The sequence below is a fragment of the Homo sapiens genome, chromosome 12 (genome assembly GCF_000001405.40).
Source record: "Homo sapiens chromosome 12, GRCh38.p14 Primary Assembly".
NCBI lineage: Eukaryota > Metazoa > Chordata > Mammalia > Primates > Hominidae > Homo > Homo sapiens.
This window is the reverse complement of record NC_000012.12, coordinates 121,550,621-121,566,208: the sequence shown is the minus strand read 5'-3', so window position 1 is coordinate 121,566,208 and position 15,588 is coordinate 121,550,621. Positions and strand designations below refer to the sequence as shown.

At 49.0% G+C, this 15,588-nt stretch overlaps 1 protein-coding gene across 40 annotated transcripts in view; it reads left to right on the top strand.

Moving 5' to 3' along the window:
* KDM2B (lysine demethylase 2B) overlaps positions 1-15,588 on the top strand; it is a 173,819-nt gene that overhangs the window by 16,071 nt on the left and 142,160 nt on the right. The gene's annotated exons all lie outside the window — the stretch shown is intronic.

The following is a 15,588-nucleotide window of genomic DNA, read 5'->3' as shown; positions in this document are numbered from 1 at the left end:
TAGAAGTTCTTAATTTTAACACAGACTATTTAGCTCTGCTTGTTGCATTAATTCTTTTTGTATCTGGCTTAAGAAAATTTTGCCTGCTCTAAGGTCATGAAGATTTTCACGTTTTTCTCAAAAAGCCTTATTGTTTGAACGATTATATTTTGATCTATAGTTCATCTGGAATAGATTTTTCTGTTTGGTGGAAGATGAGGTCAAGGTCTCCCCTTTTTTCCCATATGGATGTCCAGTTGACCCAGCACTGTTATTATTATTAAAAAAAAAAAAAAATTCCTGGGCCGGGCACGGTGGCTCACATCTGTAATCCCAGCACTTTGGGAGGCCAAGATGGGTGGATCACCTCAGGTCAGGAGTTCGAGACCAGCCTGGCCAACATGGTGAAACCCCGTCTCTACTAAAAATACAAAAAATAAGCCGGGTGTGGTGGCAGGTGCCTGTAATCCCAGCTACTCAGGAGGCTGGGGCAGGAGAATTGCTTGAACCCGGTGGGGCGGAGGTTGCAGTGAGCCAAGATTGCGCCACTGCACTCCAGCCTGGGCAACAGAACGAGACTCCATCTCAGAAAAAAGAAAAAAAAATCCTCTTGGCCAGGCGCGGTGGCCCGCGCGTTTTAATTCTAGCACTTTGGGAGGCCAAGGTGGGCAGATCACCTGAGGTTGGGAGTTCGAGACCAGCCTGAGTAACATGGAGAAACTCCGTCTTTACTAAAAATAGAAAATTAGCTGGGCGTGGTGGCACATGCCTGTAATCCTAGCTACTCGGGAAGGCTGAGGCAGGAGAATTGCTTGAACCCAGGAGGTGGAAGTTGCGGTCTGCTGAGATCGTGCCATTGCATTCCAGCCTGGGCAACAAGAATGAAACTCTGTCTTAAAAAAAAAAAAAAAAGTCCTTTCCCCATTGGCAATGAAATCTTGTTTTGTCATAAATGAGGTGACTCCATTAGTGTGGGTCAGTTCCTGGCTGGTGTGTCTATTATGAAGCCAGTGCCACACTGTCTTAACTAGCTTTATGATAGGACTCACTCTGTGATAAGTTCTTCAGCTTTGTTCTTTTCCAAGATTTCCTTTTCAGGCCGGGCGTGGTGGCTTAAGCCTGTAATACCAGCACTTTCGGAGACCTAGGAGGGAGGATCGCTTGAGTCTAGGAGTTTGAGACCAGCCTAGGCAACATGATGAAACCCCTCTTTAGAAAAAAATACAAAAATCAGCTGGGTGTGGTGGTGCACGCCTGCAATCCCAGCTACTCTCCTATCCAGCTGAGGCAGGAGAATTGCTTGAACCCCAGAGGCGGAGGCTGCAGTGAGCCAAGATCATGCCACTGTACTCAAGCCTGGGTGACAGAGAGGGATCCTGTCTCAAAAAAATAAGAAAAAGAAAAGAGAAAAAAAAAAGATTGCCTTGTCTTGTGACCCTTTGTGTTTCCATATGAATCTTAAAATCACCTTGTCCATATTTCTTTAAAGGTGGCTGTAATTTTGATTGGAATCTTGTTGATTTTGTGGATCAACAGGAAGTTTTTATTATACGGAGTTTTCTATTCAGTGAACATCGCATATTGTTCCGTTGATTTGTAGGGTTTTTGTAGAAGACTTGCATATCTTCTTAGGTTTATTCCTAGGTATTTGATTTTTGGGGTTTGTTATTTTAAGTTAAGCAATTATACCATCTATTAACAATAGCAGTTTTGTTTCTTCTTTCCAATCTTTATGCCTTTTATTTATTTTATTTTATTTATTTATTTTTGTTGAGACGGATTCTCGCTCTGTTGCCCAGGCTGAAGTGCAGTGGCGCCATCTCGGCTCACTGCAAGCTCCGCCTCCCGGGTTCACGCCATTTTCCTGCCTCAGCCTCCCAAGTAGCTGGGACTTCAGGTGCCCGCCACCACGCCCGGCTAATTTTTTTGTATTTTTAGTAGAGACGGGGTTTCACCATCTTAGCTGGGATGGTCTCGATCTCCTGACCTCGTGATCCACCCGCTTCAGCTTCCCAAAGTGCTGAGATTACAGGCGTGAGCCACAGTACCTGACCTCTTTTAATATATTTCCTTGTTTTGTTGCACTGATTGGGACCTAGACAGTATACTCTTTGTTGTGGGGGGTTCTGCTCTGTTGCTGAGGCTGGAGTCCAGTTGTGTGATTACAGCTCACTGCCGCCTCAACCTCCTGGTCTCAAGTGATTCTCCCACCTCAACCTCCCAAGTAGCTGGGACTACAGGTGCGCCACCATGCCCAGATCATTTTTAAATGTTTGTAGAGGCAGGATTTCCTTATGTTGCCTAGGTTTGTCTTTTTTTTTAATTTTTTTTTTGAGACAGAGTCTCACTCTGTTGCCCAATATGGAGTGCAGTGGTGTGATCTGGGCTCACTGCAACCTCTGCCTCCCAGGTTCAAGTGATTCTCCTGCCTCAGCCTCCCAAGTAGCTGAGATTTGCTACTTTTTGTATTTTTAGTAGAGACGGAGTTTCACCACGTTGGCCAGGCTGGTCTCAAACTCCTGACCTCAGGTGATCTGCCTGCCTCAGCCTCCTAAAGTGCTGGGATTACAGGCGTGAGCCACTGTGCCTGGCCTTTTGTTTTGTTTTGTTTTGACTTTTTTTTTTGGCAGAGTCTCACTCTATCACCCAGGCTGAAGTGCAGTGGTGCGATCTTGGGTCACTGTAACCTCCACCTCCTGAGTTCAAGCAGTTCTCGTGCCTCAGCCTCCCGAGTAGCCAGGATTACGGGCAGCCGCCGCCACGCCCGGCTAATTTTTGTATTTTTAGTGGAGATGGGGTTTCACCATATTGGCCAGGCTGGTCTCGAACTCCTGGGCTCAAGTGATCCACCCATTTCGGCCTCCCAAAGTGCTGGGATTACAGGCGTGAGCCATCGAGCCCGGCCTTCTTTTTTTGTTTTTTTGAGACAGCATCTCACTCTGTCGCCCAGGCAGTGGCACAATCACACCTCACTGCAGACTTGACCTCCTGGGTTCAAGTGATCTTGCTGCCTCAGCCTCCCTAGTAGCTGGGACTATGGGCATGCACGGCTAATTGTTGTTATTTTTTATTTTTTGTAGAGATGAGTCTCGCTATGTTGCCCAGGCTGCTCGCAAACTCACGGGCCTAAGCGATCCACCCACCTTAGCCTTCCAAGTAGCTGGGATTACAGGCGAGAGCCATTGCACCAGGGCCCACATATTATGTCTTTATCGGATTTCTCTCTAATGAGAGAATCCAAACCAACTGATGCTTTCTTTGGCCCTTTTCTTGAACCTTCATGACAAATGACTTCATTCGGTATTCATGCAATTATACTAATAATCACCTATCTTTTATCGCATATGTGCCATAGGGATTCACTTTGTTCTCCTCAGTAGTCATATGAATTAGGCATTCACTTTTCCAGGTGGGGCATCTGAGGCTTGGAGGGATCGAACCTCACAGCTGGTAGGCAGTGGAGCCAGGACTGCACCTGGCCCTGGGTGTCTTCAAAGCCCATGTTATCTCTTTCCCCTCCTCCTCCCCCCTCTCTTCCTCCTCCTCTTTCTCTTCCTCCCCCCTTCCTCCTCCTCCTCCTCCATGCTTTCTTCCCTTACAGATTTACTGGGTGTCTGTATGGTGTCTAGCCTGGTGCTAGTCAGGAGCTGTGGATCTTGCCCTTGATGGACTGTGTTTTGGAGAAAAACTAAGTTCTCACCCCTTGGAAATCAAAGCTGGCTGACTTGTCCCCAGACTTTTTTTTTGAGACAGAGTCTCACTCTGTTGCTCAGGCTGGAGTACAGTGACCCCATCTCAGCTCACTGCAACTTCCGCCTCCCAGGTTCAAATGATTCTCCTGGCTCAGCCTCCTGAGTAGCTGGGATTACAGGCTCATACCACCACGCCCGGCTAATTTTTTGTATTTTTAGTAGAGATGGGGTTTTGCCACGTTGGCCAGGCTGGTCTCAAACTCCTGGCCTCAGGTGATCTGTTCGCCTTGGCCTCCCAAAGAGCTGGGATTACAGGCGTGAACTACTGTGCTGGCCAGGCCTTTTTAAAGTTTTTTTTTTCCCCAAGACAGAGTCATGGAAAAAAAGTCACCCATGTTGGAGTGCAGTGGCTTGATCTCGGCTCGCTGCAACCTCTGCCGCCCAGGTTCAAGCTTCTCCTGCCTCAGCCTCCTGAGTAGCTGGGATTATAGGCTCGCACCACCACGCCCGGCTAATTTTTGTATTTTTAGTAGAGACAGGGTTTCGCCATGTTGGCCAGGCTGGTCTCGAACTCCTGACCTCAGGTGATCCGCCTACCTCAGCCTCCCAAAGTGTTGGGATTACAGGCATGAGCCACCGCTCCCGGCCTAAAGTTGGTTTAAAATCATAGACTTTTTCCATTTTAAGCTCGGGAAGGAGTCTTAGAGTTCTTCCAGTCCTGCTTCCCCATTTCACAAATGGGAAAAACTGAGGCCTGTAGACAAATTATTTTTGAGTTGCTCAGATAGTGCTTGGCACATCAGAGTCACATGTAGGTTTGACTTTCAGTGATTGGGAGAACACAATGCTTCCAATAGACCCCCAGAAGAAAAGCAACTTGGGGCTGGACATAGATGGGTGTGGTTCCGGGCACATTGAGTTGGATCTCATGAGAGAGGTCAAGGCCAGAGCGGCAGGTAGGGGAGGCATCCAATTGCCAGGACAGATAGAAATGCAGGGAGAGGGGCCAGGCGCCATGGTGCACCCCTGTAACCCCAGCACTTTGGGAGGCTGAGGCGGGCGTATCACTCGAACTCAGGCCTCACTGCTATTTCAAAACAGTAGAGCAGAGTCGGATTTGAACCTGTGACCAGTGCTCTTGCTAATCAGTGCTACCTGTGTGACACGGATGAGGAACAAAATACAAAACCAGTCCAGAAATGTGAGGATGCTGGAGAAGGTTCCAGAACTGTGATGTGGAAGAGTTCTGTGAGCTCTCGGAAGAGCCGGGCTCTGGGGAGTTTGGGGTCGCGCCCGTGTATGTTTCACATTAGCCTTCAAGATGACTTTCAGCAGCCTCGTCCTGGCCCCGAGCCCGAGGCTTTCGGAGCTGACGGATGGAACCTTCAAAGCAGGGGCCACAGGGCCATGGACTAATTTCCGCAGCTGGAACCTGTTGGATGTGTGTGCAGCCCGGGAGCCAGAACACCGATGATCCTGGGGTGGGTGGGCGGCGGAGGGAGGGAGGCTGCTGGCCTGCCTAGGAACTCCAGGCACTGCCCCATGTGGAAAATTTCTCCTGTAACCCACTGACTTCAGGAACCCGAGAGCCCCAGCAGTGTGGATCCCTTGCAGGTCTGAAGGGACGCTTGTCCCTGTCAGCTGCTCTAGGGATGGCTGCTCCTAAAGGCTGGGAGGGCTGCATTCCATTCTTGGCACTGATCTGTCCCCTCCATCCCTTTAGGCTACCTGCCTCCTCCCCGGTGCCAAACCTCTTGCTTAGAGACTCAGCCTGTGTGCCTGGTTCCCTTTGCTCCTGTGGCAGATCAGACCGGGAGGCTGGAGGGCTCATTCTTCATCTCTCAGCTCAGGCCAAAAGGGACTGGCGGCCCCCGTCTCTTCCTCTGCCCCCACTGCCCCTGCCCCTGCCCACTTTATACATTTAAGGGAAGTGATCCGAGTATTCAGGAACTGAAACTCAGTGCCTCGCCCCTGGGAAAGGACCCAAAAATGCCCCAACCCAGTGAATTTCAAAGGGAAACCCCAGGGATCTAGGTCTGAATTCTGAGCACCCCCCACCCACCTCCTGCATCAGCCTGAGCTGCTTGTTTTGTTTTTATTTATGTGTATTTGGCTGTCATCAAAGCTTCTGTTTGAAGAAGGGGTTCTGTGGTGAAGGAAAGAAAAAGTATAAAGTCAGTTTCTTCCTGCCTTTACACACAAGGCAACTGAGTTCTGGAAATGGGTCAGTCCAGGCTGGGTGAGGTGGCTCATGCCTGTCATCCCAGTGCTTTGGGAGGCTGAGGCAGTAGGATCACTTGAGGCCAGGAGTTTGAGACCAGCCTGGTCTCAAACAGAGTGAAACCCTGTCTCTACAAAAGAAAATAAAGCCAGGCATGGTGACTCATGCCCATAGTCCCAACCTCCTTGGGAGGCTGAGGTCGGAGGATCGCTTGAGCCCAACAGGTCGAGGCTGCAGGGAACCATGATGGCACCATTGCACTCCAGCCTGGGTGATAGAGCGAGACGTCTCCTAAATAAAAACATATAAAAACACAGTGACTCCTTAAAATTATTAAATACCCATTTTCAATGATCAAATTTCTACTTGTTTCATATATATATCATAGATGTTACTCCTTTTTTTTTTTTTTTGAGATGGAGTTTTGCTCTTGTTGCTCAGGCTAGAGTGCAGTGGCACAATCTCAGCTCATCTCAACCTCTGCCTCCCGGGTTTAAGCAGTTCTCCTGCCTCAGCCTTCCGAGTAGCTGGGATTACAGGCATGCGCCACCATGCCTGACTAATTTTGTGTTTTTTTTAGTAGAGACGGAGTTTCTCCATGTTGGTCAGGCTGGTCTCGAACTCCCGACCTCAGGTGATCCTCCTGCCTCGGCCTCCCAAAGTGCTGGGATTACAGGCATGAGCCACTGCACCTGGCCTGGTTGAGCTGCATTTTAAGTCTCTTTCACTCTCTGGATTCTCCCTACATCTCCTGCCTCCCTGGTCCCCTCTGTTGCTATCACCGTGCCACTCTGGGTAGTGTTCTGTCACGTCTGTGTTTCCTGCTGCCCCGTGGGGGCTGGACCCCAGCTGTGTGGCATGAACAGGTGACCTGTCCATTTCTGTTTCCCTGGGGGAGGGGAGGTCCGTGAAGCCCAGGTGCCCAACAGAACTGACTTTCCTTCCTCCTCCCACCACTTCCCCTCCCACCCCTCCCATAGACCTGGAAGTCCAGCTTCCAGGACACCTGGGGAGCTGCTCAGAGCTCCCGGCACACTAAGGAAACTCTTCTTAGAACCAAGCCTCCCGACCTTCTGCTCCTAAGACGGTCACTTGGCCTGCCCAGGCCTCTTGCCTATACGCTTCCCCCTATGACTTCAGCCCCAGCTGCTCCCCACAGCCCTTCCCTGGTCTGAGGCAGGCATACAGCTGAGTTAAGCCAGTCCCTTAAGTCCTGACTCCCTTGCATCAGAGGGCGGAGCAGGCTGAGGTGTAGTCAGCGGGGACCCTGGCTTGGCCCTGGCCTGACTGGGAGTCTTGAACACTGGTCCCAAGTGGCATCTGTGATGTGAAAAGCTGCAAAGTAGCGGAGGCCAAGAGGGTGCCTAGGAGGTGCTGGGGAGGGCGGCGATGGCAGTGGGAGGCATGGTTATTCCTCAGAAAAGGAGGCTGGGTGCCATGGTTCATGCCTGTAATCCCAGCACTTTCAGAGGCTGAGGTGGGCAAATCACTTGAGGTCAGGAATTCGAGACCATCCTGGCCAACATGGCTAAACCCCATCTCTACTAAAAATACAAAAATTAGGCTGGGCGCAGTGTCTCACGCCTGTAATCCCAGCACTTTGGGAGGCCGAGGCGGGCAAATCACTTGACGTCAGGAGTTTGAGACCATCTTGGCCAACATGAGGAAACCCCGTCTCTACAAAAAATACAAAAATTAGCTGGGGCATGGTGGCATGCGCCTGTAGTCCCAGCTACTTGGGAGGCTGAGGCAGGAAAATCGCTTGAACCCAAGAGGCGGAGGCTGCAGTGAGCCGAGATCGCACCACTGTACTCTAGCCTGGGCAACAGAGTGAGACTCCGTCTCAAAAAAAAAAAAAAAAGAAAAAGAAAAGGAAACACAGGCCTTCTCCACACATGTCTGTCCTTCTGTGTTGAGCCGTGCTGTCCCAGGGCTGCTCAGGACCTACCAGGTGATTCCAGGTGGGGCTTCATGGCTTCATCTTTTTTGTTACACGTGCCCACCCAGAACCACCCCCAGGTCAGGTCTTTAGTTCACCTGCCATTTGTCTGTGAAGTCGTGTGTCAGATGCCACACAGAACATAAAAGTAAATAACAGCACTCATTCCTCATGCGACAAAGAGTGAGCTCCTAGCCTGCACCAGTCTCTGTTCTAGAAATCTGGACTAGAGTAGCGATCAAGACAGGCAAGCCTCCTGCCCTCACGGCACTCACAGAGCAGCAGGGTGGAAAGACAAGAAACAAGTAACCAAGAAATACGGTATTTAGGATGAAGTGGTATGAGGTCATCAGTGGGTGACACCTTTCTGTTTGTGAAGCTACTAGGTAAACTGCGATTTCGTTATAGAAGGTGTTGGCCCCGTGATCCGCTTATACCAGGCTCTGGGAGGGAGGCAAGGGGAGGGACCAGCCCTCCCCTGTGTAAATATGTCACATTTATGGAGCCATGTAGGTATACCCAGTCATTCTCTCACTAACCCTTCGATTAGTTTCCTAGGCTGTCATAACAAAGTACCACAAAGTGAGTGGCTTAAAACCACAGAAGTTTATTCTCTCACACTTCTGCAGGCTAGAAGTCCAAAATTAAGGGTGTCTGTAGGGCTACATTTCCCCCTGAAGTCTCTAGGGGCAGGTCCTTCCTTGCCTTCTCTGGCTTCTGGTGGTGGCTGGCAGTGCTTAGTGCGCCTTGGCTTGTAGCTGCGTCACTCTGATCTCTGCCTCCGTCTTCACGTGGCTGTCTTCCTTCTGTGTGTCTGTGTCCACATTTCCTTTGTCATGGCTGGGCACGGTGGCTCACGCCTGTAATCCCAGCACTTTGGGAGGCTGAGGTGGGTGGATCACCTGAGGTCAGGAGTTCAAGACCAGCCTGGGCAAAATGGTGAAACCCCGTCTCTACTAAAAATACAAAAAAATTAGCCGGAAGTGGTGGTAGGCGCCTGTAATCCCAGCTAATCGGGAGGTTGAGGCAGGAGAATCGCTTGAACCCAGGAGGCAGAGGTTGCAATGAGCTGAGATTGTACCACTGAACTCCATCCTGGGGAACAGAGTGAGACTCTGTCTCAAAAAAAAAAAAAAAAAAAAAAAATTCTCTTGTCTTATTAGGCCTACCCTAATCCCATATGATCTCATTCTAGCTTGATCACGTCAGCAAAGACCCTGTATCACAGATATTAGGGACTGAACATATATTTTGGGGGAGTGCAGTTCAACTCACAGTACCCCTTGAGGTACGTGGGTAGCCAAAACCGTTAGCAAATTACAGGGAACTGGGTAGGCTGAGGAGGGGAGGGTGCTGATTTCTGGTTAGTGCCTTCCCTGCGTCTACTGTTCGATCTGGGTCATAATCTTAGCTAATCCTACAACCTTTTTTTCTTTTTAAAATTACATTTTTATTGATTTACTGGCTTAGTTCACTTTGTGTTGCTATAAAGGAATGCCTGAGGTTGGATTTTTTTTTTTTTTTTAAGGACAGAGTCTCACTCTGTCGCCCAGGTTGGAGTGCAGTGGCACCATCTCAGCTCACTGCAACCTCCGCTTCCTGGATTCAAGTGATTCTCCTGCCTCAGCCTCCTGAGTAGCTGGGGTTACAGGTGCGCATAACCAGGCCTGGCTCAATTTTTGTATTTTTAGTAGAGACAGGGTTTCACCATGTTGTCCAGGTTAGTCTCAAACTCTTGACCTCAAGTGATCCACTTGCCTCGGCCTCCCAAAGTGCTGGGATTACAGGCTTGAGCCATGGTGCCCAGCTGGGTTGGATTATTTATAAAGAAAGGTTTATTTGATTCAGCTCTGCAGGCTGTACAGGAAGCATGGAGCCAGCATCTGCTTCTGGTGAGGACTTCAGGAAGCTTCCAGTCATGATGGAAGGGGAGGGTGAGCTGGTGTGTCACATAGCCACAGAGGGAGCAAGAGAGAGAGGAGGGAGGTGCCAAATGCTTCTAAATAATCCAGCCTGTAGCCCCAGCTATTTGGGAGGCTGAGGTAGGAGGATCGCTTGAGCCCAGGAGTTTGAGGCTACAGTGAGCCATGTTCAAGCCACTGCACTCCAGCCTAATGAGCAGAGTGAGGCTTTGTCTCAAAAAACAAAAAACAGGCCGAGTGCAGTGGCTCACCCCTGTAATCCCAGCATTTTGGGAGGCTGAGGAGGGCAGATCACAATGTCAGGAGTTCAAGACCAGCCTGGCCAACATGGTGAAACCCCATCTCTACTAAAATACAAAAAATTAGCCAGGCGTGGTGGTGCGTTCTTGTAGTCCCAGCTACTCGGGAGGCTGAGGCAGGAGGATCTCTTGAACTTGGGAGGCAGAGGTTGCAGTGAGCCGAGATCGTGCCACTGTACTCCAGTGTAGGTGAGAGAGTGAGACTCCGTCTCAAAAAAAAAACAAAAAACAAAAAAAACAAAACAAAAACCCAATTCAGTCTCATGGGAACTAATAGAGTGGGAATTCACTCTTTATGCAAGGAGGGTACCAAGGCATTCGTGAAGGATCCACCCTCACGTCCCAAACACCACACACCAATTCCTACCTCTAACATTGGAGATATTTGAGAGATATTCATGTTTCAACATGAGATTTGAGATTTGGGGGGGAAAAATATCCAAACTATATCACTTACTTATTTATATTCTTATAAAAAATTTTGGCCAGGTGTGGTGGCTCACGCCTATAATCTCAGACATTTTGGGAGGCCTAGGTGGGCAGATGACTTGAGCCCAGGAGTTTGACACCAGCCTGGGCAATATGGCGAAACCCCGTCCCTACAAAAAATACAAATATTAGCCGGGTATGGTGGCCCACGCCTGTAATCCCAGCTACTTTGGTGGTTTAGGCACAAGAATTACTTGAACCAGGGAGGTGGAGGTTGCAGTGTGCTGAGATCGTGCCACTGCACTCTAGCCTGGGAGACAGAGCGAGACTCTGTCTCAAAAGAAAAAAATAAAATTACCCCAGACTAGTTATTCTTTCTTTTTTGATACTTTGACACTTGCAAAATAAATAACATTTTCAGGGTCTTAAGGTATAATTTTGTAAATTACTATATCCTCATAACTAAATGATATGATTAAACATTATTTTAAATTGGTATCCATTTTTTATAAAATAGGATTGCTATCTACTGTTTTTTAAAATTTTTTATTTTTTAAGATAGAGTCTCACTCTGTCACCTAGGCTGGAGTGCAGTGGCACAGCCATTGCTCACTGTAGCCTCTGCCTTCCAGGCTCAAGTGATCCTCCCAAGTAGCTGGGAATACTGGTGTCTGCCAACATGCACAGATAATTTTTAAATTTTTTGTAGAGATGGGGTCTTGACATGTTATCCAGGCTGGTCTTGAACTCCTGGGCTTAAGTGATCCTCCTGCTTCAGCTTCCCAAAGTGTTGGGGTTACAGGTGTGAGTCACCACACTCAGCCTACTCTTGCATTCATCAAATATTTGAGTGCTGCATGAATCCCAGATGCAGATGTTCTTTTGTTTTTTCTGGTCCACATTTGGACTAAGACTGAAAATCATAACTTGTGGATTAATACCTGTGTGCATGTGAGAGAGGTATATATACCTGGGATTAAATGAGAGTATAAAAGTGTTAATTTAAAGTATGTTACAGGCCGGGTGCGGTGGCTCACGCCTGTAATCCCAGCACTTTGGGAGGCTGAGGCAGGTGGATCACCTGAGGTCAGGAGTTCTAGACCAGCCTGGACAACATGGTAAAACCCCGTCTCTACTGAAAATACAAAAATTAGCTGGGCGTGGTGGCAGGCGCCTGTAATCCCAGCTACTCGGGGGGCTGAGGCAGGAGAATCGCTTGAACCTGGGAGGCAGAGGTTGCAGTGAGCCGAGATCGCGCCATCGCCATCGCACTCCAGCCTGGGGGACAAAAGAGAGACTTTGTCTCAAAAAAAAAAAAAAGTATGTTACAAAGGGCAAGTATCATGATATATACAAGGTATACATTTATTTGGAAACACTCCCAGATTACTTGCCATCTCTGAGACTCTCCATTTTAAAAAAGTAAAAAGTTTCATTGAAATATAAGTCACAGACCATACAATTCATTTCACCCCACTTTTTTTTTTTTTGAGACAGGATCTGGCTCTGTTGCCCAAGCTGGAGTGCAGTGGCACGATCATGGCTCACTGGAGCCTCAACCTCCTGACGCTCAAGCAGTCCTCCCACTTCAGCCTTCAGAGTAGCTGGGACCACCGGTGTGGGTCACCATGCTTGGCCAATTTGTGTGTGTGTGTGTGTGTGTGTGTGTGTGTGTGTGTGTGTGTGTGTGTGTGGAGCTGGGGTGTCACTATATTACCCAGGCTGATCTCAAACTTCTAGGGCCCAGCGCTCCTTCCAGCTCTGTCTCCCAAACTGTTGGGATTACAGGTGTGAGCCACCAGCCACCAAGGCCGGCCACAATTCACTTGTTTTCAGTATATTCACAGAGCTGTGCAACCATTATGAAAGTCCATTTTAGAACTTTTTCATCATTCCCCAGAAGAACCCCACACCCATTTGCATCTTGAATATGTTGTAGGGTCCTAAGCAGTCTGTTCACTGGGACTGGCCAGCAACGATTTAACTGGCTGTGATGCTGGGCAAGTCCCTAAACTTCCCAGCTCCTCACCTTCTCCACCTCTAGTTACAGATGAAACTGACCGACTCGGTAACGCTACCTACCTGTAGGTGCTCCAAGTGAGTGTGAAGTGCATGAACTCAGTTATGTCTCAGGACAGCTCCTGGGCTGGCTATTTGTTCCCCATGTTATAGATGAAGAAGAAACTGATTCCCAGAGAAGCCAAGAGCCCGAGGCACAGGCTGGAGGCTCCGCTGGGAACCGAACCCTCTAAATTTTAACAGTGTGTGGGTAGGGGTAGCTGAGCTTGGCCTTCAGTGCTGACTTGCAGGACTCTGGGTTCGTGATTTTAGTGCTCTTTATCCTATTTGCTACCTGCCCAGCAGACTCCTTTGCACAGGGAGCTTTGCAGACATGACCTTGAGCAAGATTAGGGAGGAGAAGTGGGTGGAGGTGGGAGGCTGGCCAGAGAGCGAGAGTGGGGAGGGTACCGGGGTTCTTTCTTTCTTTTTTTTTTTTGAGACAGAGTCTTGCTCTGTCGCCCAGGCTGTAGTGCAGTGGCGCGATCTCGGCTCGCTGCAACCCCGCCTCCCGGGTTCACGCCATTCTCCTGACTCAGCCTCCCAAGTAGCTGGGACTACAGGCGCCCGCCACCACACCCGGCGGATTTTTTGTATTTTTAGTATTCTCGGGGTTTCACCGTGTTAGCCAAGATGGTCTCAATCTCCTGACCTCATGATCTGCCCGCCTCAGCCTCCCAAAGTGCTGGGATTACAGGCGTGAGCCACCGTGCCCGGCTGGTACTGGGGTTCTGACAGCAGGGTTTCTGCCAGGTGGGCCTCCTGGAAAATCTGAGTGGCGCCCACGTATTCCAGGCACCTGGGTAAGGAAGGAGCTAGCCTTGCCAAGATCAAGGCCAGAATATCCAGCGAAGAACGGGGATGCCCCCTGGTGGATCTGCACTCCAGACGCCAAAACAAAAGCTGCTTTCCCCTGGATCCACTGCTTCCTAGGGTCCATGGGGAGGGACCTGGCCACTGCTGTGGTCTGGAATCTTTTTTTTTTTTTTTTTTAATTAAGACAGAGTCTCACCATGTCACCCAGGCTAGAGTGCAATGGCACGACCTCAGCTCACTGCAACCTCCACCTCCTGGGTTCAAGCAATTCTCCTACCTCAGCCTCCCAAGTAGCTGGGATTACAGACGTGTGCCACCATACTTGGCTAATTTTTGTATTTTTAGTAGAGATAGGGTTTTGCCATGTTGGCCAGGCTGGTCTTGAACTCCTGACCTCAGGTGATCCACCCATCTCGGCCTCCAAAAGTGCTGGGATTACAGGCATGAGCCACTGCACTTGGCCAGGTCTGGGGTCATGTTTCAACCTTAGCATACGATCAAGATTCAGTATTCGGGGGATGGGAGAGGAACCTGGGCTTAGGCATTAGAATGAATTGGATTCAAATACCACTCTGCCACTCACGAATTGGGCATTCCTGGGCGAGTTAGTTGTCCAAGTCTCAGCTTCTCCTCCATTAAATGGGTGTAATTGAAGTTCTGCTTCACAGAGCTGTGACCACGATGAACCTAACACAAGATAATATATGTAGAGAACCCGCCTGTGCTGACACACATAGTAAATGGTAATGGTTGTAATTGGTAGTAAGAGTCTACTCTGGGGAGCTTGAGCCAGTTGCTGTGTCTCTGGGCCTTGGTCTCCCCATTTGTAAAACAGACTGTCTCACCTTGCTTTTCCAGGTTGCTGTGAAATTTAGATCTTGAACCCAAAAGATAGAAATACCCAAGTTCTCTTACATACTTAAGGTGTTACTTTCTTTTTTTGTTTCCTTTTTGTGGAGAATGTGGTCTCCCAGCCTGGGCAACTTAATGAAACCCTGTCATGCTGGGCGCGGTGGCTCACACCTGTAATCCCAGCACTTTGGGAGGCTGAGGCGGGCGGATCACTTGAGGTCAGGAGTTCAAGACCAGCCTGGCCAATATGGCGAAACTCCATCTCTACTAAAAATACGAAAAAGAGCCGGGTGCGGTGGTGCACGCCCTTAATTCCAGCTGCTCGGGAGGCTGAGGCAGGAGAATCACTTGAACCCCGCAGGTGGAGGTTGCAGTAAGCTGAGATTGTGCCACTATACTCCAACCTGGGCGACAGAGCGAGACTTTGTCTCAAAAACCAACCAACCAAACAAAGAAAACCAAAACCCTGTCTCTACAAAAAATAAAAACCTGGTTGGATGTGGTGGTGCCGCCCTGTAGTCCCAGCTATTCAGGAGGCTGAGGCTGGAGGATCCCTCGAGCCAGGGAGGTTGAGGCTGCAGTGAGCCACGATCGTGCCATTGCTCTCCAGCCTGGGTGACAGAGCGAGACCCTGTCTCAAAAAAAAAAAAAAAAAAAGAATGGAATCTTGCTGTGTTCCCCAGGCTGGTCTCAAACTCCCAGGCTCAAGCACCATCCTCCCACCTCTGCTTTTCTAAGTGCTGGGATTACACAGAGTTACTTTTATTTTTCAGTTCCGACCACATGAAAGGCTATGTTTATTTATTCAACAAATATTGACCACGGGCCTGTTAGAGGGCAGGTTCAGTGAACGGGATGAGACTATTACCCATATCAACATCTAAGTTCCATGAGAGTTCTGTCTAGTTCAAGGGCCAGCAAACTTTCTCTGTTAAGTGCCAGAGAGTAAATACTTACGGGTTTTCAGGCCATTTGGTCTGTTGCAACTACTTAGCTCTGCCATTGTCGCACGGAGCCAGCCCTATACAATATGTGAACCGATGACCGTGGCTGTGCCCCAGGAAAGCTTTGTAAATGGACCTGAGAATTTGGGTTTCATATAGTTTTCATATCACAAAATAGTATTCTTCTTTTGATTTTTCCCCCTCCGTTAACAAAAATGGAAAACCCCTCAAAACGTATGGCTATTGTAGGGAAAAAAAAATCTAGGCCAGTTGCGGTGGCTCATGCCTGTAATCCCAGTACTTTGGGAGGCTGAGGTGGGTGGATCCCTTGAGGTCAGGAGTTCAAGACCAGCCTGACCAACATGGCGAAACCCCATCTCTACTAAAAATATAAAACTTAGCAAGGTGTGGTAGCACATGCCTGTAATCCCAGCTAT